Source organism: Homo sapiens, chromosome 15 (assembly GCF_000001405.40).
Source record: "Homo sapiens chromosome 15, GRCh38.p14 Primary Assembly".
Classification (NCBI taxonomy): domain Eukaryota; kingdom Metazoa; phylum Chordata; class Mammalia; order Primates; family Hominidae; genus Homo; species Homo sapiens.
Genome location: NC_000015.10, coordinates 69,239,054 through 69,265,002, shown reverse-complemented (window position 1 = coordinate 69,265,002; position 25,949 = coordinate 69,239,054). Strand labels below are relative to the sequence as shown.

General features: G+C 37.0%; 1 protein-coding gene and 1 pseudogene across 11 annotated transcripts in view; one reads left to right on the top strand and one right to left on the bottom strand.

Moving 5' to 3' along the window:
- The window catches only part of GLCE (glucuronic acid epimerase), a 111,573-nt gene that overhangs the window by 7,205 nt on the left and 78,419 nt on the right, over positions 1–25,949 (bottom strand). For 10 of the 11 annotated variants that reach the window (NM_001324093.2, NM_001324094.2, XM_047432377.1 and 7 more), the window contains 2 exons: positions 8,611–9,209; positions 3,674–3,916 (listed from right to left, as the gene is read on the bottom strand). In NM_001324093.2, the coding sequence (NP_001311022.1) occupies positions 3,674–3,916; positions 8,611–9,196 (829 nt within the window). In that variant the 5' untranslated portion in view covers positions 9,197–9,209. The remainder of the gene's footprint in view (positions 1–3,673; positions 3,917–8,610; positions 9,210–25,949) is intronic. The other variant, NM_001324092.2, reaches the window with a different exon arrangement.
- Positions 14,208–14,478, top strand: RN7SL438P (RNA, 7SL, cytoplasmic 438, pseudogene; annotated as a pseudogene).

The following is a 25,949-nucleotide window of genomic DNA, read 5'->3' as shown; positions in this document are numbered from 1 at the left end:
AATCAACAAAATGAAAAGCAACCTATAGAATAGGAGAGAATATGTACAAACATATATCTGATAAGAGGTTAATATCCAAAATCTATCAGGAACTTATACAAATAGCAAAAAAAAATCTGATTAAAAAATAAGCAAATGATCTGAATAGACACTTTTTCAAAGAAGACACGAGTGGCCAAAAGGTATATAAAAAGGTGCTCAACATCATTAATCACGAGGGAAATAAATGCAAAGCAAAACCACAATGATATATCATCACCTTACACCTGTTGGGATGACTATCATAAAAAAGGGAAGAGATAAGAAGTACTGGTGAGGATATGGAGAAAGGGAAACCCTTGCGCACTTTGGGTGGGAATGTAAATTGGCATAGTCATTAGGAAACAGTATGGAGGTTCCTCAAAAAATTAAAAATAGAACTACCATATGATCCAGCAATCCCACTTCCTGGTATACAACCCAAGGAAATGAAATCAATAACCTCAAAAAGATACCTGCACTCCCATGTTCTTTGCAGCATTATTCACAATAGCCAAGGCATGGGAGCAACCTAAGTGTCTAGTATAGATAAAGAAAATATGGTGTAAATATGTGTGTGTGTGTGTGCACGTGCACACACATGTGTGTATACACACACACATACCTATAGAATAGAATATTAGCCATAACAAAGAAGGAAATCCTGCCGTTTGTGACAACATAGACGAACCTTGAAGGAATTATGCTACGTGTGACAAGTCAGAGAAAGATACTGTATGATCTCACTTATATGTGGACCTCCAAACAACTGAACTCACAGAAACAGTAGAATGGTGGTTGTCGGGCTGGGGGGGTGGGAAAAATGGGGAGATGTTGATCAAAGGGTACAAACTTCAGATATAAGATGAGTAAGATCTAGGGGTCTGATGTACAGCATGGTGACTACAGCTTATAATACTGTATTGTATGCCTGAAATGTGCTAAAATATCTCTTAAATGTTCTCACCACCACCAACACCATACAAAGAAAGGTAACTATGAGGTGATGGATGTGTTAACTAATTTAATTATGGCAGTCATTTCACAACATATATGTATATCAAAGCATCACATTGTATACATTTGCCAGTTATACCTCAATAAAGCTGGGAAAAAAAGCCTTTAAATCAATGTTTCACATCCAACAAAAACTGTTAATCAATCCATTCGTTTAATCAACAGATTTACTATGCAGCATGAGAAGAGGCCCTACTCAAAATCTTAAGAAACACCAAGAGAAAGAAGAATCAGGCAGAAGAAGAGAAGCTCCCAAGAAGCCTGAGAAAGAATGGCTACAGAAATAGGAGAAAGTGAGGTCATGGAAATCAAATGAAAAGAGTGCTTGGGGAAAGGGAAAGCTAATTTAATTTAATAGAGTAGGACAGGCCTAAAGTTTCAATTCATTCAATTTTAAAATTAGAAAAAGGAATAAAACATTATTCGACAAATAAAACAACAAAAATATGCTGCAGACCCATATTATATGCCTCTTCACTCATATTTGATTTTATCCCCTTTCAGAAAAAAAAATCGAAGGCCAAGAAAGAAAAAAAAAAAGACCAACAGCATTCAGCTTGTGGTCCTCCAGGGTCTCACCTCACTTGAGCCTATGCTTTTATGTACAAGTTCCAATTTCCTCTTAATGGTGATTCTCTGAATTTATCTCCCATGAGGTCTATATCCTCTAAAAAGCCTCATTTCTCATACCTATGCTTCAATAAAATAGTCTCACCTCTTTGATTCCCTTCTCCTGCTCTGTTCTGAGCAATAACTCCCATGTAACTCCAACTCACCTTCTCTCATACTCTTATAGTATGCAACTGGAGAGGCAGCATCCTTAGTTCAAAAATCCGAAATCTGAAATGCTCCAAAATCCAAAACTTTTTGAGTGCTAACATGATGCCACAAGTGGAAAATTCCAGATCTTCCCTCATGATGGGTCGCATATATTATTAAAAATATTATAATATGTTACCCTCGGGCTATGTGTATAGCATATGAAATATAAAAGAATTTTGTGTTTAGACTTGAGTCCCATCCCCAGGATATTTATGTATATGTAAATATTCCAAAATCTGAAACACTTCTAGTCCCAAGCATTTCAGATAAGGGATACTCAACCTGTACATGCACACACAGAATTCCATTCCCAGCTAGCACGCTTCCACCAACAGGGAGTTCCAACTTAGAACAGCTGTGTCCCACTCGCAGAGTGGCTGTTAGAGACAGAGTTCTCTCCTCTATATGCTTAAAACCATCTTAGGAAGTAGTTTTATCTCCAGCTACTGGCTACAGAATGAGGGGCTAAGGATCCCTCATTTAAGATGTGGGGACCTATCTTTTGTATTACTCAAAGCACCCAAAAGTGCACAATGAAATCTGTTGCTCTAAATAGGACAGAGTTCAAAAGACTGTCCTAGAAAACCTTCCAAACACTCAAGGAGATCAAGGTGAGGGCTGCTGATTCCACCCTAATCCAGACAACCATTATTAACTAGTGCAAAAATAAGTTTCTTGAGTGCACCCAAAAGTTCTTTTGCATAGTCTAATCATTTCCTGTTGCAATAACCTCTTAGGTATCACAAGCTAAATATTCTTAAAAATTTAGTTGTACTTTCTCACTCAGCCAAACCTGTTGTTTACAATAAGCAAAGATGCTCTGTGTACCAGAATATCACAGAATGCCATGGGAGAAAAGGAGTTCTAGTGACAGAATAAAAATTAAAGGTCATCTATTATTTGCACTGCATTCAGTACTCATAAATTCATTACTTAAGGCTATCTAGAATGAGTAGGTTTGTATTGTGGCTTTCAGGGTCTGTAAATTACACAGTCATCAATGAAGAACAAGGAGAGAATACAGAAGAGGTCTTATAACCTTTCCTCTCTTTTTATTTACCAACTGCAAGACTGGTGGGAGGGGGAACAAGTTCTGTACTTGACAACATTCCCCCATAGAGAATTAAACCTGAGGTGCTAACTAAAATTATTTCATTGTCTTCTTAAGTAATGGACTCATTAATTCTCATTGATATTGATTAGTGCAGGAAAATGCATTACATTCTAATTAATGAGACTGTCTTAGTAAAAGGGGAAATGTTGCATAAAGTTAATTTGATTTTGTTAATTATTTTATTAATGAAAATGACTTTACATGAAGTTTGAGATAATCTACTACATTAACAAAATCCAATATGGGAAACAGGCCTCTTTGGTAATGCTCTATTATCCTGAAAAAATTAAAAGCTATTGGCAAAAAATAGGCAAAGGAAAAGATGGCTGTCTCCTTAAAACCATTCTATTTACTGCAAAAGTTTAAAAATTAAACTATACTGTACTGAAATATTAAATGGAGGAACTTCATTCCTATCAGATATAGACCCCTGGAGGCAGGTACACATTGTGCAGTAACCTGGACCTTACCATTCAATCTATGGCTTGGCTCTTTACATAGTAAATATTCCTTTTTATAACCTTGACTTTTTAGCTGTATCTTTTTTAGAGATTTCATTGGGGTGACACCATTTGTTACTTTATATATGTAATATAAAGGGTCTGCTTATGTGTTTTTTTAAACCATATTAAAATTTTAAGGGACTATCAGGGTCCCATAAATCAACATAAAATTAGCAGGCACATATAATACATAACTTACCTGGTGCAATAAACTGTTTGACATTGGTGAATCTAGACTTATCAGCCACATTCGCCATAAAGCAGCCCTTTGGCACAGTCCAGTCATTAGGCTTGTTTTTGTCTCTGTCTTCTGCTGTTTCATATACCTCTATGTGAGGAGGTTTCTCAGTTAGATTCTTGCTGTAATGACTTAATCCATACTGTGCAATCTGGATTGGATAGAAATAGCCTTGAGGTCCCCATTGTGTAGATAATGGCACACCTATAAAATAGAGAAACAAAATGAATAATCATATCCAGACATTACAAGCCTATTCCTAATACCATTCCTCACTGATTTACTTCTGGGGGATCTTACAGGGTTATCAGGAAGTTGTGGGCTTCCTTATAATACTGCTCTCATAATGACCAGATCTAGTACCAAATTAACCAGATGTGAAAAACAAAAATTAAGTATTCTTTCACTCTCATTCATTATTTGTTAACAAATAGTGCAACGCTATAAATTACCTTTTAAGGACTGGCTTTTTGTGTGTGTTACTTTTGCTCATGGCTACAGATGTCATGTTTCATAATCCTGTTTCCTACATTCAAATTCTGCACAATTTAGATGCGTATAGCTAATGTCACCACAGTTCTATTTTCAATATTAATCCTGAAATTTTCTTAAACATTTATACTTAACAGTCAAGTTACTACATACTCATCTTTCCCTCCAATGTCAAAGTGTGGTCTACTAATTAGGTATGTCATCTGATGGTTAATGTATTTGCTTAAAAAGCCAGTTGTGGCCAGGCACGGTGGCTCATGCCTGTAATCCTAGCACTTTGGGAGGCCAAGGTGGGTGGACTGCCTGAGCTCAGGAGTTTGAGACCAGCCTGGGCAACACGGTGAAACCCCGTCTCTACTAACATACAAAAAGCTAGCTGGGGGTGGTGGCAGGTACCTGTAATCCCAGCTATTTGGGAGGCTGAGACAGGAGAATCACTTGAACCCAGGAGGCAGGGGTTGCAGTGAGCCGAGATGGCGCCACTGCCCTCCAGCCTGGATGATGGAGCAAGACTCTGTCTCAAAAAAAAAAAAAAAAAAAAAAAAACCAGTTGTGACTTGGCAATTTAAAATATAAACACAGCTTGAAATTCTTTTTCATATCTTTCCTGTTAAAATGTAATTCTTAAGAAGTGTTTTTTAAAACATGAATTTAGTTTGTATATTTTACCATAGATTCTTGAAATAATTCATTAATGGATTACCTTATGTAAAGTTCTAAGTACAACTTTTAAATGTTTGGTATTAGTGTTTTTCTTAGTAATTTACTACTTAGGAGCTACAAATCCTACATTTACATAATGTTGTATGGTTGAATCACGTATGTATTGAGAGATAAACTACTATCTGTAGTTCTAAAATTAATAAGAATCTGATGAGCACAGCAGAGACTGGGAATCTACAAAATTTTATGTGTTTTGTTGTAGATTCAAAACAATGTTTACGGAATTAGGTAGGCTACAGATAAGCTTTTTAACATTTGTACCTTTCCTCCAAGAGGGGGATCTCCTCTGTAATTCAAATAGAATTATTATCAATTAATAAAAGGTGGTTTATACAACTTCATTAAACATGAGTGGTGACTACAATAATGTGCAACTGGCACAAGAACTGGGACTGATCAATGAAACCAAGTAGCAGTCCAGAAACACATTCTAGTACTCCTAAGAATTTAGTATAATGACGAATATTCCATCAAACTCAGTGGGAAAAGAGATGATTCAATACATATTGGGGAAAAAGGTTTAAAATTAGGCTGTGACCTTGTACCATTTGCCAAAATATAAATCAATTTAGCAGAACTAAAAAAGTTAAACGTAAAAAAATGAAACCATAAAACTATCAGAGAAACTAAAAGTGAAAAGCTGATCATAATGTGGTGTGGCAAGTGCCTTTCTAAGCATAAAAAGAAGAGGTACAAAGATCCAAAAAACCCCATAAGTTTAATAAATGGAACTAAAAACTTCTAAAACCAACAAATCATATGTAAAATGAAAAGACAACCAGATTGAAGAAACATCTCTAACAAATATGAGTACTGCTACCCTTACTACATAAGTTCACACAAATACATTTTTAAAAAACTCCACTTATCACATTCGAAAAAGGGGTAAAGAACATGAAAATACGGCAAAAAGCATAAGAAAAAGATATCTGACCTCACTAGTTGTTAAAGAGAGAAAATTATAATATCCCTCTGTAACCAACAGACAAAAAAACAATGGTCCATGATGGCAAGAGTTGGGTGAAAACGGCACCCTCATACTCTGCTGCTGGAAGCATGAGCAAGTTCCACCTTTCTGGAAAATGGCTGGCAAAACAGTACAAAGGTTTGGCAGGTTATTTGACATGGCAGTTAATTATATTCTCAGAATAGGAATACACTACAATGAGAATAAAATTAAAATAGCAAATAAAGATTAACAATGAAAATCTGTAACATTTATAATAGCAAAAAAATGGAAATATAGTTAGTCACCCTTTGTGCTACCAAATACCAGATTTTATTCACTTGATCTTAATTTATTATATATTTAAAAATAACTGAAAGAATATTACTGGATTGTTTGTAACACTAAGAAAGGATAAATGGTTGAGGTGATGGATACACCATTAACCCTGATGTGATGATTATTATACATTGCATGCCTGTATCAAAATATCTAATACACCCCATAAATACATACACCTACTATGTACCCACAAAAATTAAATATAAAACATTAATTAAAAAACATAAAAAACCTGGAAATGACCTAAGTGTACAACTAAAGAGAAGGGTCTCATACATTACATATATCATGGCATGTCCTTACTACAAATATTAGTTATTAAAATGTTCAATAAATATTCAGTGAGGGGAAATAGTTGAAACATGTTAAGTAGAAAATATCAGAATAAAAATTGACCATACAGTATGATCTGAATTTTTTTTAAAGATGCATTTCTACTATGCAGCCATAAAAAAGAAAGAGATCACGTGCTTTGTAGAAATATGGATGGAGCGAGGGGCCATTATCCTTAGCAAACCAACGCAGGAACAGAAAACCAAATACTGCATGTTCTCACTTCTAAGTGGGAGCTAAATGATGAAAACGCATGGACACATAGAGGGGAACAACACACACTGGGGCCTCTGGAGGGTAGAGGGTAGGTGGCGGGCGAGGATCAGAAAAATAACTGATGGGTCCTAGGCTTAATACCTGGGTGACAAAATAATCTGTAAAACAAATCTCCATGACATGAAGTTACCTATATAACAAAACTGCACATGTACCCCTGAACTTAAAAATTAAAAATAAAATAAAATAAAATAAAAATATATTTCTACAACAACAAAAAGAATGGGGAAAAAAAGTCAAAATATTAATAGTGGTTATGGGTACTTTTTACTTTTTTATTTTAGAATTTAGGCGCCTATTAATTTCATGCATTTAAAAAACTGCTGAAAAAAAGGTTTGACTCTGAATATCTTTGAAATCTCTATTACTCTCCTGAATCACTGTATAGTAAACATCATTACGATTATGCTAAAACATATGTCTAAGTACAAAGGCCTCCAGAGAATATATAAAAATAATAATAATTATATTGAGGTGGTAAGAGTATAGGTGAATCTGGTCACTTCTCTCTTCTAAACATTTGGTAAGGATATTGGCCAGGCACAGTGCCTCATGTTTGTGATTCCAGCACTTTGGGAGGCTAAGGTGGAAGGACTGCTTGAGTCCAGGAGTTTCACACAAGCCTGGACAACACAGTGAGACACTGTTTTTACAAAAAATAAATTTTAAAAAATTAGCTGGGCATGGTGGAGCATGCCTATAGTCCCAGCTAGTTGGGAGGCTGAGGTGGGAGGATCACTTGAGCCTGGGAGATCGAGACTGCAGTAAGCCATGACAGTATCACTGCACTCCAGGCCTGGGTGACAGAGTGAGATTCTGTCTCAAAATAAGAGAAAAAGATATTATAAAAAATTTATCTAAGTAGTAAAAACAAAGGAAAAAACTCCTGCATCAGATATGTAAATTCCAATTTCCAACTGGATGAATAAACACACCATTAACTTCACAGACATGAGTGGGCTATAATCCTTCGGTCTGTGGGAGTCTGAAAACATCCACATGGTCACCAAGTGAGCACAAACTTCTTTCCAGAGCAAAAAATATATATTTAGTTAGTTAAAAACTTACTTCAATACAGATTTTAAAATATTAAGATCTTAAAATCACTTTATAACAAAATGAGGAAAGTAAAACCCAAACCAAGAAATCTCAAACATATTAAGCTCTTTCCTCTGTTTAAGTGATATACTTTAAAGTCAAATTCAATTTGGCTTTCTGGTTTGAAAAGCAAATTCCAAAGCATATTAATTGTATCCACAAGGAACTCTTACTGCCCCAGGTTTTAAAGACAATGAAAAATGTAATAGACTAGGAGTTCAGTATAAGTCCAGAGAAAAAGCATCTACATATTGTCTTGTTCTGAAGACTTGAAACCTCCTTCCAGAGATGACACCTGACTCATTAGGTAACCAGACCACACTGGTACATTGATGGGTCCACTGGATGGTCTCTCTCCCTTTCCCATCTCTCACAGGATTCTAGCTATATATTTTAACGCAAACTTCTGGAGAAACAATGCCTTTACCTTACTGGTGAGAATTTTAGATTCTGAGTTACGTTAATAAAATAATTCTGTTTGCCCAGGTTTGGTCTTATGGCAGCCCTTAAGTCATAGCATCTAGAAAGTTGCCCTAGGTTCAGGCTTAACCTGTTCCTCCCTGCTAAATTAGAGTGATGAAAGGTCTTTTGACAGTAAGCTATGTACTTGATGTATAATTAACAACATTTTCTTATTCCTCAACACAATCATGCTTGAAAAATGCAAGTGAAGCAGACAGATACCAACCTTCAACCCCACTTATGCACTTGACTCTGTCTCGGACTTCCACATTGTAGCCTTCAAAAGACATAAACACACCATCGGGGTGATAGGGGGCTCTCTGTGCATAGACTTTGGAATAGCTATGAGAGAATTCAAACCGATCATAGCCATCATACTGAACCACCTTTCCATAAACATCAAAATATTTCTCAACCCAAGTGAATGGAAGAAAGACTTCGTTCCCCTCTCGTCTCCCTTTAATTGTGTGTTCATCATTTATGAGACAGTCAATTTCTTCATATTTGAGCCCTAACACCTTACTTCCCACATTGCTATTGAAGCCCCCAACAACAGGGGGTGCTTTCTGCTGTTCCTGAGGGAATGCTTCCTCAGACTGTTGTTTGGCCACGTGGTTCATATAGTTGTTACTCTCAGATGCTGCTGCTCTTTTTTCAAACCCATCCACTCTGAAGCCACTACTCGAACGCCGTGGAAACTGGATTGCTTTGTCACTGGAACACTTATTCCACAAAAGTACTGTGACCAAAGTGAAGAGTGCGCAGATAATAATCAAAGTCTTATAGTTGACCCGAGCTGCCAAGCAACGCATATTCAGACCATACCTATGGAGGCAAGAAGAAAAAAAATCATGCAAAGATGTACTACCGGCATTTCATAGGATAAAGTTTTCTTTGCTTTTTTTTTTTTTAATGTTGAACAACTGTATTAGGACAATTTTGGATCAGATTTAAAATTGCAAACTCAAACTTTTCAGCACAAAAAAAGGTAAGAGGTGCTTCCTCCTTTTGGTGAAATCCTTAGTTAGCTCAAGCTTCTAAAGCAGAGATGTTCAAACTTTCTTAGTTTGTGGCTCCCTTGGTATCTCAGTAATTTTTCACAATGCCCCCTAGGCCAAAAGAAATACCTAATACAGTTTGAGTATGCTGTACCCAAAATGCTTGGGACCAGAAGGGTTTTGGATTTTGGATTTTTCTCAGATTTGGGAATATCTGCATTACACTTAACAGTTCAGCACCCCAGATCTAAAATCTGAAACGCTTCACTGAGTATTTCTTTAGAGCATCACGTTGATGCTTAAAAAGTTCTTGATTTTGAAGCATTTTGTATTTTCGATTTCTGAACTTGGGATGCTCAACATGTAGCATTTATTAAATAGTTAGGGCCAAATAACTACTTATGTACAAGTATTTATGTCCTAACACCTTAGTAGCTGTCTGAAAAAACACAGTAGACCTTTTCAAGGTAAACACCAACATCCATGTTGCTAAATCCAACAATGAATTTTTAGTGCTCATCCTACTTGACCTCCTAACAGCATAAAATAGTCAATGGCTCTTTCCTTCTTGAAACATTTTCTTCCCATGGTTTCTAGGGCACCATTCTCTTTTGGTTCTCCTAAAATCCCACTGGCTGTTCTTCTCTTCTTTGAGTCTTCCTTTTCATCTCCCTAATTCTTAAATGTTAGAGTACCTTAGGGCCCCAGTCTTTTGAACTTCTTTATCTCTATTCAGTCTATTCACTTTGATCTCACCCAACCTCATGCCTTTAAATACAAGGCTGACTATCCCCAAATTCTCTCGCCAGGCCAGGTCTTTCTTCAGAGCTGCAGATACGTATATCCAATACATATATCTTTATTTGGAGGTCAAATAGATTTCTGAAATAACATCCAAAACTTAACTCCCAATCTTTTCCTCAATCTGTTCCACCCTTCCTACTGCTCAGACTAAAAATCTTGACCCTTTCTTATTCACTCAATATCCCATAAGTCAGGAAATTCTGTTGGTTCTACCTTCAAATTATACCCAGAATCTGACCTCTTTTCACCAACTACATTGTTACTACCCTGTCAGAATCACTGTCATCTTTCACCTGGAACACAGCAGTTATATTCAAACTGGTCTCTCTCCTTCTACGCTTACCCTACTACTCCACCCTCAAGTCTATTCTTAACACAGCAGTCAGAATGATGCTCTTAAATTTAAGTCAGATCATGTCATTCCAGTCCTGATGGGAGGAAAATGTGATGCTGTTGCTTCTTCTGGCCATATGGTGTATGAGCCTGTTGTGATTGCAATGCAAGTAGTCCTGGGTTACTTTTTGCTGGGATGATTGGGAAACATGGGAAATTATGGATAGTTATACATATAATGTATGATACATTTCAGCCTGCTGAGAGTAAAGGGAGTAGTTTAACTGCCGTTTGCCACAGGAGCTCTGTAATTTATTGTATGGTGTGAATCAACAACTAATTTTATCGTTTTTAATCCCCCCTTCTCATTTTCCCCTCAACCCTTTTGGCAGCAATGATATATTAAAAAAAATCAAATGCTAAACTTCCGTTTCTCAAGAAGTTGATGGTGAATGTGTAATTCATTCATTTCTTTTACTTCCAATGGAAGGCAAACTTTGCACCCTTCAGTGTCTGAAAACAACTGTATTCTGCTCTCACCCTTGATTAATAGTTTGGCAGGTTGTAGAATCCATGGTTGCATATTATTTTCTTTCTAAAATGTTGTAGGCAATACTTTACTGTCTTAAATCATTAAAAGTTATTCATAAGGGGTTTGATTTCAGTCTGTTACTTGTTACTATGTGTGTGATTTCTTCCGGGATCTTTGTTTATCCTAGGAATTCTGCAGTTTTGAGATGTGTCACAGTACCATGTTTGATTCTCTATTTCAGTGCTTGGTGTGCCCTTTCAATCTAAAAACTTGTGTCCTCCTATTCTTGTTTAATAGATGTAGTATCTTCTTGGATCTCTGAATATATTAGATGATTTATTCTTCTTTTTTTAAAATAAAGTTCTTTCTTATTAGTTTTACTTTTTCCACTGGCCATTTTCCTGGTTATTTAGTCTTTCATGCCATTAGTTTTTCCCACCATGCCTGGTGATCTTCGGTTACTCATTCACATTTAAGGGAGAATGACTCATTAGCCAACATAGATTTCCTGTGTTATTTTGAAGATAGTCTGATTTTGGCTAGATTGTTCCCCTGGAGGGGATAAAAAGAGGGAGCTCTGTGTGGGCTGGACATAAGCTGACTGGCAGTGTTCCCACAGGGTGAGTGGGTGGGGAGCCAGCAGACCTTTCAAATGCCAGAAAGAAGATGGTGTTTTCTCTTTTGTTACACGAACACAGCACACACTTTAGAAGCCTTCGTCTTTCTCATGCTCTGTAAAGAAAATCTGCCTAGTGTTTGCCTGGGATTCTTGCCAGCTATCTGTATTCAAGTGTAGGGGTGAAAGAGGTATGAGGAGGGGAGAAGAGGGTATAGTTGGGCCTACTGGTACTCAACTAGAGATCTGGAAATCTGTTCAACTATCATCCTTGGGTAGTCCTCCTATTTACTGTTACTGGCTTCTTCATTTCTCATTTTTAAACATTTTATTTTGCTGGGGCATCAGAAGGGAAAGGAGGTGAATACAGATTTTAAGAAGTGGAAACCCAATAATACATTTTTAACCCTATTAACTGAGAATAATTCATCATCTGCATTATTACTATGAGAAACCAAAGTGTGTAACAAACAAAACTTAAGAAGTCATATAAATTGAGGATTTCCTTATATTGCAGTGGGGGCAAACTGATAACACTAAATGGTGTTTATTTTTTTTTTTAAATCCTTCATTAAAAGCACTTACATGTCAACAGCTGAGTAATCTGTCAGCTACGCCTTACATTTTGACCAACTAATATAGAAATATAAAGCTTTTTATCCTATCTTTGAGAAGTGCCCTTCCTCCACTACTCGCATGCCTGCAACCCTGCTTATGGAACAAGGCTACTGATATAGTTTGGGCATTTGTCCCCACCCAAATCTCATGTTGAAATGTAATGTTCAGTGTTGGAGGTGGGGTCTAGGGGGAGGTGTTTGGATCATGGGGGTGCATCCCTCTTGAATGGCTTAGCGCCATCCCCTTGATGATGAATGAGTTTGCGTGAGATCTGATTGCTTAAAAGCATTGCCCACACTCCCTTGGCTCCTGCCCTGGCCATGTGACCTGCTTGCTCCAGCTTTGCCTTCTGCCATGAGTAAAAGCTCCCTGAGGCCTCCCCAGAAGCTGAGTGGATGCTGGCACCATGTTTGTATAGCCTGCAGAATTGTGAGCCAATTTTAAGCCTCTTTTTTTTTAAAAATAAATTACCCAGTCTCAGGTATTCCTTTACAGCAATGCAAGAACAAACTAACACAGCTACCAATATGTTGAAGCACACGATGGGAAAATAAAGAAAAATCAAATTTAAAAACTTCCAATAATCCTTATGTCCAGGTTTTATTGTCTGATGCCATTCGTTACTAAAGACAATCAGGGCTTCTTAAAGAAATGAGTAATTCCAGGTCTAGGGATGGGACACCTTGCCACACCAGAAAACAAACTTTCCACTACCAATGAAATAAAAATCAAGGGTGTCAAAAAAGCAGCAGGAGACAGATAAAATTAGAAAATTATTGCTAATTGCTAAAACTGAGAGTGACAGATATATTGGAAGTTCAGTATACCACTCACTATATACTTTTGTTTAAACATTTCCATAAATATATAACATCATGGCAAAAAGACACAGGAATCAGTCTAAAAGGTCCTCTTTCCTATTAGTCAAATTTGTAAGAATTATGAGTGAAGTAGACTGAAACACAACGAAGCAATAAAAATCCACGAATCTGCAATAATATTTAAAAAGGAGAAAGCCAGCAAAAAACTTACCTAATCTTCTAAGCTGACAAAAATTGGCAACTGAGTGAAAAAAATTATTTACTTGTCTTTGTAGGAGCAGCCATATTTCAGAACAAATCAAAAACCCTAGTAAATAAAATACTCTGTTGTGCAAAAGCCTATCTAATAATAAGAAGTAAATTTTTTTAAAAAATAAGAAAATTAGCATTATGTAATCCCTCATGATATTACAGATTCAGGCAAGTGTTAAATGCAGGTATACGTTTGCCATGACCTAGAGATTCATACTGTGCAAAGTAACACCAAATATGTTATTTTCTAGTTGAAAGAAGAAAAAGATTAAACTTGACAGTGAAAAGATCAGATAGTCATACCCTAATTCAGTGGTCAACTTTAGTCTCCTTAATTGTGACCCATCCAGAAGCTGTCTCCTGATAAGTCATAATAAAAAATATATCACTTACCATACATTCCAGCCCAAAATGTTTCACTTGGATCTCTCAGGACATAAAATTTAATCTCTGGTTAACAGGAAATACAAGGGATAGAGGAACAAGTTAAAGGAGGAAGCAACCAGACACTTCTAGAAGGTGAGACATCCTGCAGGACAGCTGGTCCTGTCTCCTCAACTCAATAAGTGATATGAAAATAAAAAAGGAGGGGGCTGTTTTGTGTGTGTTTTTTTAAGAGACTTAGGGACATAACAACCAGATGTGAAACTTGGTTCTGGACTGGGAAATTCAACAATGGACTTGATAAAATGGAAAGATACTGAAATGAAGACTGTTAACTGAAAAATATAGGTTACAGAACAGCACATTTAGTATTATCTTATTTTAAGTAAACAATGCATATATAGGTCTTTATTTTCTAATTTTCCATGACCACGCTGTTTTTTTTTTTTTTTTTTAACTATAAAAAATGGCATGTGCTTGCAGTCCCAGCTACTTGGGACTGGGGTAGGATCACTTGAGCCCAGGAGTTCTGGGCTATAGGGTGCTATGCCGATCGGGTGTCCACATTAAGTTTGCCATCAGTATGATGACCTCCCGGGAGTAGAGAACCACCAAGTTGCCTAAGGAGGGACGAACCAGCCCAGGCTGGAAATGGAGTGTGATGATCAGTAGTGGGATTGCGCCTGTGAAGAGCCACTGTATTCCAGCCTGGGCAACACAGCGAGATCCTGTCTCTTAAAAAAAAATAATGAAAAACTAAGAAGGGGAAGGTTAACTTTGTTAAAATATTGAAAGAAAAAAATGTAAGTCAGTTAAAAATTTGTAGAAAAATTTAGCTTTCAAATGGGCACGGGTTTTTTTCAGAGGGGCGGGGATGGTAAGAGAGATCGAAGGAGGATGAAGAGAAGGAAATCTCTGAGTGTTGACATACAGTATTAACTAAAAAATAGGCTCATCTAAAGAGAAACTCAGTAATTTCATTATAATGTTGCCAAATTATAGAAAACTGACACAGACACTCTGAAATTTCAAGAAGTAGATTGCACTGACATTCTGCTAGGTATAAATGATGGTAACTTTGAGTGGTGAGAGGCTTCCTATTTATTTTGAAGCTTTTGCCACATCTACAAAATAGATTGATGCTTTAGGTAAAACAAACAAATGAAAAACTCATAAATTAAAAAAAAATCTTGAAACCTCACCTACTGCTGACCCTAAAGATTTATTTCATTAGAAATATAATCCAATAAAAATCAGGTCTTATAACGCTGGAGATCTAAAACAGAAAATGTCATGCAGTAAGCATCATAAAGAAACTGTGGAAAAACTTCTTTGTAGAAATAGTTAAAAATTAGGGAAAGTAAAACATAACTCTTAGGGTTTTTTTTGGAAAGCAAATTGTTCTATTCTAAAGTGATTTGCAATTCAAACATCTTTTCTGTGATACTTTACTTTTCAGATTTATTTTCCTAGTTACTTCAAGTAACTATTAGAGTAATTCACTAAATATCAGGAACTATGGATAGCATCATGAGCTTTCAAAATATGAAGGTTGTATTTCAGTAAAGAACAACCTTTCAATAGGTTTTTTAAATATTCACTTACATTGTTATTGGCTTTTTTTCCCTCGAATAATGTAGGCCAAAGTTTCCCTGCTTATTATTTCTCTTATCTACTTACACATCTATTTATGTTTCCTATAATTCCTTGATTGAGAAGAATGCTTACTCTTAATTAAAAAATAATTTATTGATACTGAGTAAGTAGATGAAATAGTAATTGCTCAACAAATAATCAAACTCACTGATTGTTTTGATCAATATTTGTTCAGCAGCTACTATGTGGCAGGTAAGGCATTATCCATGTCTCTAAAGGACAGATTCGCAGGCAGAAAAAATAATAATGCTAAGATTTAAGAACTGTAAAAAAAAAGTTATGTAGACTATGCTATAAAACACCTTAACCTTTTAAGGTGTTAAGAAAAGCTTCCAGGTAGAATGAATTGAAGATTGACAGTTAAGCATGCTCCCAAGTCAGGGTATTTGCACTTGTCATTCCCCATGCCTAGCACTCTATTTCCCCAGATATCCATTTGGATGGCTCTCTCACTTCATTCAGGTCACTGCTTAAATGCCAATGTATTAGAAAGGGCTTCCCTGGCCACCTTATCTAAAATACCAGTTCTCACCCCATCATTCTCTAGGTCCTTACTCAGTTTTATTTTTCTTCATAGCATTTATCACCATTTGACATATTATACATTTAAATTATTCATCCCCAATCCACTAGAATGCAAATTCCATGAGGGCTGGGGTTTTGCTTCTCCTGGCCACTGTTGTATCCCCAATACTTAGAAATGCACCTAGCTTGGCTCATGCCTGTAATCCCAGCACTTTGGGAGGCCAAGGTGGGAGGATCACTTGACAAGGTCAGGAGTTTGAGACCAGCCTGGTCAACATGGTGAAATCCCATCTGTACTAAAAATACAAAAAATTAGCTGGGCGTGGTGGTGCGCACCTGTTGTCCCAGCTACTTGGGAGGCTGAGGCAGGAGAATTGCCGTGAGCTGAGATCGCCATTGCACTCCAGCCTGGGCGACAGAGTGAGGGGGCAAAAAAAAACTGTGCCTAGCTCAGAGTAGACATTCATTAACGGTTTGTTGAATAAATGAACATTGTTAAATATTCTTTCCTCTCCGTTGCTCCCTCCTTTCCTTCCTTTCTTGAAAGCAAGCAAGCAAGCAAGCAAGCACTTGGCCTATATAATTAAAAAGATAAAAAACAGACATTTGAACCAGACAACTTTGTTTTCTTTCCAATATTTGGGTATTCAGAAATTGTAATCCAAATAAAAACGAACATAACTGACATAACAGAATACGGACTGTGATGCTGTATATTGGCCGATTTTAAAACAGATTTATAATTTAATTACTGCTGTTAGTAATGTTCCATCTGTTTACTGCTTAATAGACCAAGATTTAAATTATACAGTCAAATTGTTAAATATCCAGTGATAGATGTAACTCAAAGGAGAACTGCCTAATATTTTTGGTTGTTAGGATCCTTCCAGTAATATAAACAAGTAGAATTCTCTGGTAGCTACTCACAATAAGGCAAAACAGGAAGGAAATTTTGCAAGTCCCTTTTATTTTTTAGTAACAAAATTGAAATGATCTGTGATACAAGTGCTCATAATACTTCAAATAAGATTGTATTTCTAGGAAAAAAATCCCAAGGAAACTGAGTAGCGGGTATATATATGGACATGCTCTATGTTACTGAATTCTCACAGTATTTCTAATATTTTCTCATAATTATATCTGTTATGGTGATCTGTGATCAGTGATCTTCAATGTTGCTATTTTAATTGTTTTGGGGTACTATTAACTGTACTCATATAAAATGGCAACCTTTATTGATAAATGTTTTGTGTTTTCTGACTGCTCCAATGACCAGCTGTTCCCCGATTGCCTGTTTCTGACCTTCTCCTTGGGCCTTGCTATTTTCTGAGACACACCAATATGGACATTAGGCCAATTAATAACTCTACAATGACCAGTAACTATTCAAGTGAAAGGAAGAGCCACATGTCTCTCACTTTAAAACAAAAGCTAGAAATGATTAAGCTCAGTGAGGAGGGCATGTCTAAAGCCAAAATAGGCTAAAAGCTAGACCTCTTGTGCCAAAAAGCCAAGCTGTGATAGCAATGGAAAAGTTCTTGATGGAAGTTAAAATTGCTATTCCAGTGAACACATGAATGAAAAGAAAGTGAAACAGCCTTATTGCTGATAATGGAGAAAATTCTGGCGGTCTTAAGGTCAAACCAGCCACAATATTCCCTGAAGCCAAAGCCTAATAATCCACAGCAAAGCCCTAACCCTCTTCAATTTTATGAAGGCTGAGAGAGGTGAGGAAGCTGCAGAAGAAAAGTTGGAAGCTAGCAGAGGCTGGTTTATCAGGTACAAGGTAAAGCAGCAAGTGCTGATGTAGAAGCTACAGCAAGTTATTCAGAAGCTCTAGCTAAGATCATTGATGAAAGCAGCCACACTAAACAGATTTTCAATGTAGACAAAGCAGTCTTCTATTAGAAGAAGATGCCATCTAGGACTTTCATAGCTAGAGAGAAGTCAATGCCTGGCTTCAAAGCACCAGCTGACTCTCGTTAGGGGCTAATGCAACTGGTGACTTTAAGTTGAGGCCAATGCTCCTTTATAATTCTGAAAATACTAGAGCCCTTAAGAATTATGCTAAATCTACTCTTCCTGCACTCTATAAATGGAACAACAAAGCCTGGATGACAGCACATCTGTTTACGACATGGTTTACTGAATATCTGAAGCCCACTGTTGAGACCTACTGCTCAGAAAAAAAGATTCCCTTCAAAATGTTACTGCCCATTGACATGCAGCTGGTCACCCAAGAGCTCTGATGGAGATGTACAACGAGATTAATGCTGTATCCATGCCTGCTAACACAACATTCATTCTGAAGCCCATAGATCAAAAAGCAATTTGACTTTCATGTCTTTTTTTTTTTTTTTTTCTGAGATGGAGTCTCACTGTATCGCCCAGGCTGGAGTGCAGTGGCATGATCTCGGCTCACTGCAACCTCTGCCTCCCGGATTCAAGCGATTCTTCTGCCTCAGCCTCCTGAGTAGCTGGGATTAGAGGCATGTGCCACCATGGCTGGCTAATTTTTATATTTTTAGTAGAGACAGGGTTTCACTATGTTGGCCAGGCTGGTCTCAAACTCCTGAACTCGTGATCCACCCACCTCAGCCTCCCAAAGTGCTGGGATTACAGGTGTGAGCCACCACACCCAGCCAACTTTCAGGTCTTAGTATTTAATAAATACATTTTGTAACACTATAGCTGGCCATAGATGGTGATTCCTCTGATGGATCTAGGTAAAATAAATTGAAAACCTGCTGGAAAGGATCCACCATTCTAGATGCCATTAAGAATATTCATGACTCATGGGAGGAGGTCAAAATATCAACATGAACAGAGTTTGTAAGTTGATTCCCACCTTCATGGATGACTTTGAGGGGTTCAAAACTTCAGTGGAGGAAGTAACTACAGATGTGGTGAAAACAGCAAGAGAACCAGAATTAGAAGTAGAGTCTGAAGAGGGGGCTGAATTGCTGCAATCTCATGCATGAGCAAAGAAAGTGGTTTCTTGAGATGGAATCTACACCCGGTGAAGATGCCATGAACATTGTTGAAACGACTGGCCGGGCGCGGTGGCTCACGCCTGTAAACCCAGTACTTTAGGAGGCCGAGGCGGGCAGATTACCTGAGGTAAGGAGTTCGAGAGCAGCCTGGCCAACGTGGTGAAACCCTGTCTCTACTAAAAATATAAAAATTAGCCGGGCGTGGTGGTGGGCACCTGTAATCCCAGCTACTTGGGAGGCTGAGGCAGGAGAATTGCTTGAACCCAGGAGACGGAGGTTGCAGTGAGCTCACACGGTGCCCCTGCACTCCAGCCTAGATGACAGAGTGAGACTCTGTCTCAAAAAACAAAAAAGAAAAGAAAAAGAAATGACAACAAAGGATTTGGAATATCACATAAACTTAGTCAATAAAGCAACAGCAGGGTTTGGGAGGATTGACTCCAATTTTGAAAGAAGTTCTATTGTGGATAAAATGCTATCAAATGGCATGGAATGATACAGATAAATCTTTCATGAAAGGAAGACTCATTCTATGTGGCAAACTTCATCGTTGTCTTATTTTAAGAAATTCCCACCACTACCACAATCTTCAGCAACCACCACCCTGAGCATTTAGCAGCCATCAACATCAAGGGAAGACCCTCCACCAGTAAAAAGATTATGACTTGCTAAAGGCTCAGATAATCTCTAACAATTTTTAAGCAATGAAGTATTTTTAAATTAAGGTATGTACTTTTTTTTTTTTTTTTTTTTTGAGACAGAGTCTTGCTCTGTCTCCCAGGCTGGAGTGCAGTGATGTGATCTCGGCTCACTGAAACCTCTAACTCCGGGGTTCAAGCGATTCTTGTGCCTCAGCCTCCTGAGTAGCTGGGATTACAGGCATATGCCACCATGCCTGGCTAATTTTTGCATTTTTAGTAGAGAAAGGGTTTCACCACGTTGGCCAGGCTGATCTTGAACTCCTGACCTCAAGTGATCCTCCCCACCTTGGCCTCCCAAAGTGCTGGGATTACAGCTGTGAGTCACTGCACCCGGCCAGGTATGTATATTTTTTAGACATAATGCTATTCTACACTTAACAGACTACAGTACAGAATAAACATAACTTTTATAAGCACTGGGAAACCAAAAAATGTGTGTGAGTCACTTTATTGTGATATTCACATTATGGTGGTCTGGAACTGAATCTGCAGTATCTCCAATGTATTCCTATAGTAAATTATATTATTTGAATTTCATAGATGAAAAGACTAAGGCATAAGGACCCACAAAAAGATTTACTAAAGGAAAAGAACAGGAACAAAGCCAAGACGAGAACTTAAATCTGATAAAAAAATTTTGTGCATTCCCTACTTACAGATGATGAAACTAAGGCATTGTGATGTTAAGTAATTTACCTGAAGCCACATGATTATTTGATGGTTCACATATCTAGTATTAAGAATGGTATTTTAACTCCAGTTTTTCAGTCTGACTCCAAAGGCTGTGCTCTGATATGTCACAGGGTATCTTAGAACAGATATATAAATATTATATTTCAGAAGCTGAATACTCCCCTTCCCCAGAAGATTTTAACTTATAACAGGTTACTAGACTGCGAACTGAATTCAGACATTCACAGGTCTTGTTTTGGTTAAAGTTTAATTTTACCATAAATCAACAGTTCACACAGGTAAACATAATTTTAGGAAAAGTTATCTAGTTGTTCTAAAAATGTATTAGCATTTCTGAATGAAGCTACTGAAATTTTTGAATTTTCTTTAAATCTAACAGTATAATTAAATGCCATATTAATATTAGAAAGGGACAGAAATGAGAGTCATGATTGTGAATGTTATGTATTTTATTCTAAGAAAGCTACCTGGTCCCCAGGTGGCTTAGAATAATTAAGCTCTTGACAACAGGATCCTCACTGGCCCCACAAATCCAGCAATAGCTTACAAATGCATTATAATACCTTATTTCTGTCATAATTATTATGATATTCTGGTATAGCTCGTTGAAGCAAAACCTTCCCCATGTTAATGTGAGGCTTTGAAAATGTACTCATGTTCTAAAAGCCCCAAGGTGGCAGTATATGTGAGTAACTAACAGTACAAGAAATTAGGGTGTGAAAAAGAAGAATCTAAAGATAAAGCTATTTTTTGGGCTGGGCATGGTGGCTCACGCCTGTCATCCCAGCACTTTGGGAAACCAAGGTGGGAGGATGACTTGAAGCCAGGAGTTCGAGACCAGCCTGGGTGACCTGAGACCCTGTCTTTTTTTTTAAAAAAATTATTTTATTCTATGACTTTTTATTAGCCATAGCAAAAATAAAAATAATAATAAAAAAAGGCAAGAAGTCAAGGGGAATAAAAAGCTTTAACTTTTTTTTTTCTACTTAGTTTAATTTCTGGCAAGAACATATAATCTTGAATACAGATTGTAATTACCCTTAGAATGAAAATCACCAGTGACAGCAAAGGTCAAATCTATTTGCTCATGTCATGCAACACAAATTGGCTTTTTTTTTTTTTGAGATGGGGGCGGTCTCATTAGTTACCCAGCCTGGTCTTGAACTCCTGGGCTCAAGTGATCCTTTTAGCCTCCCAAAGTGCTGGGATTACAGGTGTGAGCCACTGAGCCGAGCCAATAAATCGGCTTTGAAGCTATGAAACGAAAAAGCAAAACAAAAATAAAAAATTTCAACACTATGGAGATAAAGGAGAACCATCTAAGGAAAGCTAATTTTATTAGCCTTTAAAGATAATGTATAAATAAAAATGCAGAACAGAACTAGAAGTTGGGGGAAGACACATTCGTGGTTATTGCACTTTACTCATAAGGAGACCTGAGACCACCTGGTGGCTTCTATTAGCTCAGGTGTGGAAATTCATATTCTAAGCCTACTGGGCCTCCTACCTGACATACTTTTGTAGGAAAATCTTAGTCTTACCCCTAACAGGACACCAAAGCAATTCCAGTTTTCTTTTTTTCTTTCCTTTCTCCTTTCTTTTCATTTCTTTCTTTCTTTTTTTTTTTTTTTTTTTGGACAGGATCTCTCACTCTGTCACCCAGGCTGGAGTGCAGTGCCATGCTCATAGCTCACTGTAGCTGCAATCTCTCGGGCTCAAGTGATCCTTCTGCCTTAGCCTCCTGGGTAGCTGGGACTACAGGTGCACACCATCATGCTTGGCTAATTTTTATTTTTTATTTTTATTTTTAGTAGAGATGAAGTCTCACTGTGTTTCCCAGACTGGTCTTGAACTTCTGAACTCAAGCAACACCCCCTGCCTCGGCTTCCCAAAGTGCTGGGATTACAGGCATGAGCTACCACACCTAGTTCCAGTTTTCTTAACTTCAGCAACCATAAACTAGGCAGAAAGAATAATATGATGAACCTTTAAAAAAATAATTTTAAGAAGTACAGATGTTGACTGGTTCCAGACCAACCACTTTTTCATACTAGTAGAAGGAAAGTTGTTTGCATCAAAGCACTAAATTAATCAAATAGAAAAAGAAAATCCTCATCAATTCCTACAGCAGTTAATGACAATGAGCTAATGAACAGACTAAATTCAATGAATGAAGCATTTTACTTAGTATTACTATATATCTATAGTATATAGATATATAGATGCATAGCTTAGCTTAACATCTGATACTGAGGAAAATAAAAATATATATAGAAACGATTTCCGCTCTCAAATAACTTAGAACCTTGAAGATACAAGACTTGAACATACAGAAAACAAGTGAAAAAAATCCACATTGAAAAGGTGGTAAAATAAATATAATAATTGAATTTGAAAATCAAATAAAAAGTAGTGTGGCAGGTAGTTTAGTTAGGAAAGGGAAAGATACTAGAAAGAGGTGCATGGGGAGAACACTTCACTGAAGCCCAACACAGATGGTATATACTGGTCTCCAAGAGAATATTAACAACCATTAAGTGAGGCCCTTTTCAAACACAGGATAATGAACTTGTAGCTATGGATTTCCTTATCTACACTGCAAAGTACTTTTACATTCATTTCTTCATTTAATTTCTGCAACAATCCAATGAAATGGTCAGGAAAATGAGTGCTATTTTACAATAGAAAATACTAAGGCTCAGAAATTGATAAGGTGGTCTTTTGGTTCTAAGCTTTATCAGACCAGTGATTTCCAAATCCAGATAATTAAGTCTCATCTGGACGGGGAAAAGACATTTCAAAGTCTTACACAAGTGATTCTGATGATTAATTTGGTCTGAGAACCAATACAACTGGCTCTAAATTTCACTGGGCATTAGAATTACCTAGAAGGTTTGTTCAAACACAGATTGCTGTTCACAAACCCCACAGTTTCTGATTTACTAAATCTAGGTAGAGACCTAAAAACCTGCTTTTCTATCAAGTTCCAGGTGAAACCTATGCTTCTGGTCAGGAGATCACACTTTGAGAACCACTGTAATATACCATATGCATAAAGTAGGTACTATGTGCAAGTGGAAATACGTATGCTGCCCAAACTCAGAACTATCTTAGGCAATTCTGAAAATTAGGGTCACTAGCATATTGATTTTTGCAGAATAATTAGTTTGTGCTCCAGTGAGAATGACTTTAGTTAACTCTTGAATCAATTTACAAAGCAGTGATTCAAGAGTTAGCTAAGCCCTAAAGTCATGCTTGGAAAAAATTTGTAAGTTTTGGCTTTTGCCTGTATGTTGCAGAATCTCTCAGCTACAGTATGTTTTGAAATAATTCTTTTAGAAGGGTAGGTGGGTGGTATATATTTTGAAGTCTTGCAGAATTGAAAATATGTGTTGCTTCTTCATCAAACAACTTGGCTGAATAAAGAATTTTAGGGTCCAAATTGCCTACAGAACTCTGTATACACTGCTCAACTGTTTAATGGCAAGAACAAGCCGATGTTTAATGATAAGAACAATCAATCTAAAGCTAGTCCATCTTTTCTTTCCTTGTGAACAACTTGTATGTTTTCTTGTTTTTCTCCCTTCCTGGATGCCTGATGATCATGATGATGATGATGACGACGACGATGATGATTTTAACAAGAGAAAGTACAAAGTTTCGCCAGAATAGCTTTAGTTGTTAGGCTGTTTTCATTAATTTTTCCTGGTGTTTGGCAACAAGCCTGCTCGAATTGCAGGCTCAGGTCATCCTTCATCTCAGAAAAGTTTTTATCCCATTGTGTGTTTAATAATTGTTCCTGTTGAATTTGTTCTGGTCTCTTCCAAAATGTCAATTGTATATATTGGATCTCTGTACTCTATCCTTTATGTCAATCATCTTTTTCTTCAAATTTTCTTTTTTCATCTCTTCTCCCCCTTTTCCTCTGCATTTTGGGAGAGCTTCTCAAATTTGTAGTCTGCATCACTAATACAATTTTCTAATCCACTCTCTGTTGCTTCTGGTACAGTTTAATCTATATACTGCCTATTTAGTTTCTATTTTATTGTTTCTTATTCGGATATTGCATTTTTTAGTTTCCATCCTATAGGCCGTACTTATTAATATCCAACACCCTTTTAATGTATGCCTCCCCGTTAGCTAGCCCCCACTTTCATCCCCACCTGCTGCCTTATGAACTTATTTTCTACATCTCACTCCAAAGACTCCACAATTTAAAAAATCTACAAGCATAAAAAAATGTTTTCTACAATTTTCTTGTTACAGAAGTAACCTTTTATATCAAGAGTATGTGCTTTTGCCCTGGTGTTGAGTGCAACATTCCTGTATTTTTAAGGTTGCAGAATCTTATTTCAGAGTCTGTCTCCTCAATATTTCTTTTCTTTTTTTTTTTTTTTTTTTTTTTTTTTGAGACGGAGTCTCGCTCTGTCGCCCAGGCTGGAGTGCAGTGGCGGGATCTCGGCGGTTTGATAAAAGTAGGGTTTGATTTTTCACAAGGATACTTCATGATAGAGATGTGAACCTTCATCAGGAAGTATATAATGTTCAACTGTCTCTCTTTTTATGATGTTAAGATTAATCCCTATTTTCAGCCTAATCCATTATAAAGCCATTATATGACCCAAGAAAGCTACTAAAGCCTCAGCCATGTCTGTGTTGTAGCCCAAAAACAAGAGGAAAGCCATTATAAAGTTATCCTTTAGCAGTTCACCCAATATTACTTTTAGCAATCACTGATGATTGTTTCATTAAAAGTTGCAAAATGGGTGATATTCTATCAGACCTTCTTAATGTATAGTTAAAATATTTCTATAAAGAAAATCTTGCTCTTGCCAACTACTTGGTTACCCTGAGATATACAGTTTGTATGGGAAGGGCAGAATTAATGATTAAATCTTTATCAATTTTCAAAATAATGAATTGGCTCCCTAGTCCCCAAACATAAGGAGCTTTAAAAAAAAGTAACATATGAACTCACAGATTTTTAACATATTTGATACATTTCAACCTACTGCAGTTATTTCTTTTTCTTGGGATGTTGGTATTTCAGGTATGTGAACACTTCCTTTTTGGTGTTTTCAATGCTGGTACACTCTATTTAGATATATTTATAGTCATTTCAGTGGTAACTAGATGTGGGGTTAGAGGGAGTCAGATGCTTGTACCACACTGCTATCTGTACCTGTGAGGAACAGGTTTTGCTATTAGTAACAGACACCAGAAATAAACCATCTTATGTTCCAGCTTGGGTTTTCACTCATATAAAATATATCTAGAAATAGGCAGTCTGGAGCATATATGCAGCTATGTGCTCATCAAGGACCTAGGTGCTTTCTATCTTTCTACATCACCTTATGCCCTAAGAAAGCTACTGAAGCCTCAGCCATCATGTCTGTGTTGTATCCCAGAAAGAAAAAGAAAGGCAGAAGGGCAAAACAGCACATCTCTCAGTAGAACTAATTCAAACTAATGAGACTTTCCTCAAGCTTCACACATTTCCAACATTTCATTAGTCAAATCTTAGTCACATGGCCACCTCTAGCTGCAAGGGAAGCTAGGAGGCACCTCTGTTCTAGGCAGCCACATGCCAAGTGGAAAAAACCGGGTTCTATTATTAAGGAGAAAACAGACCCTGGGAG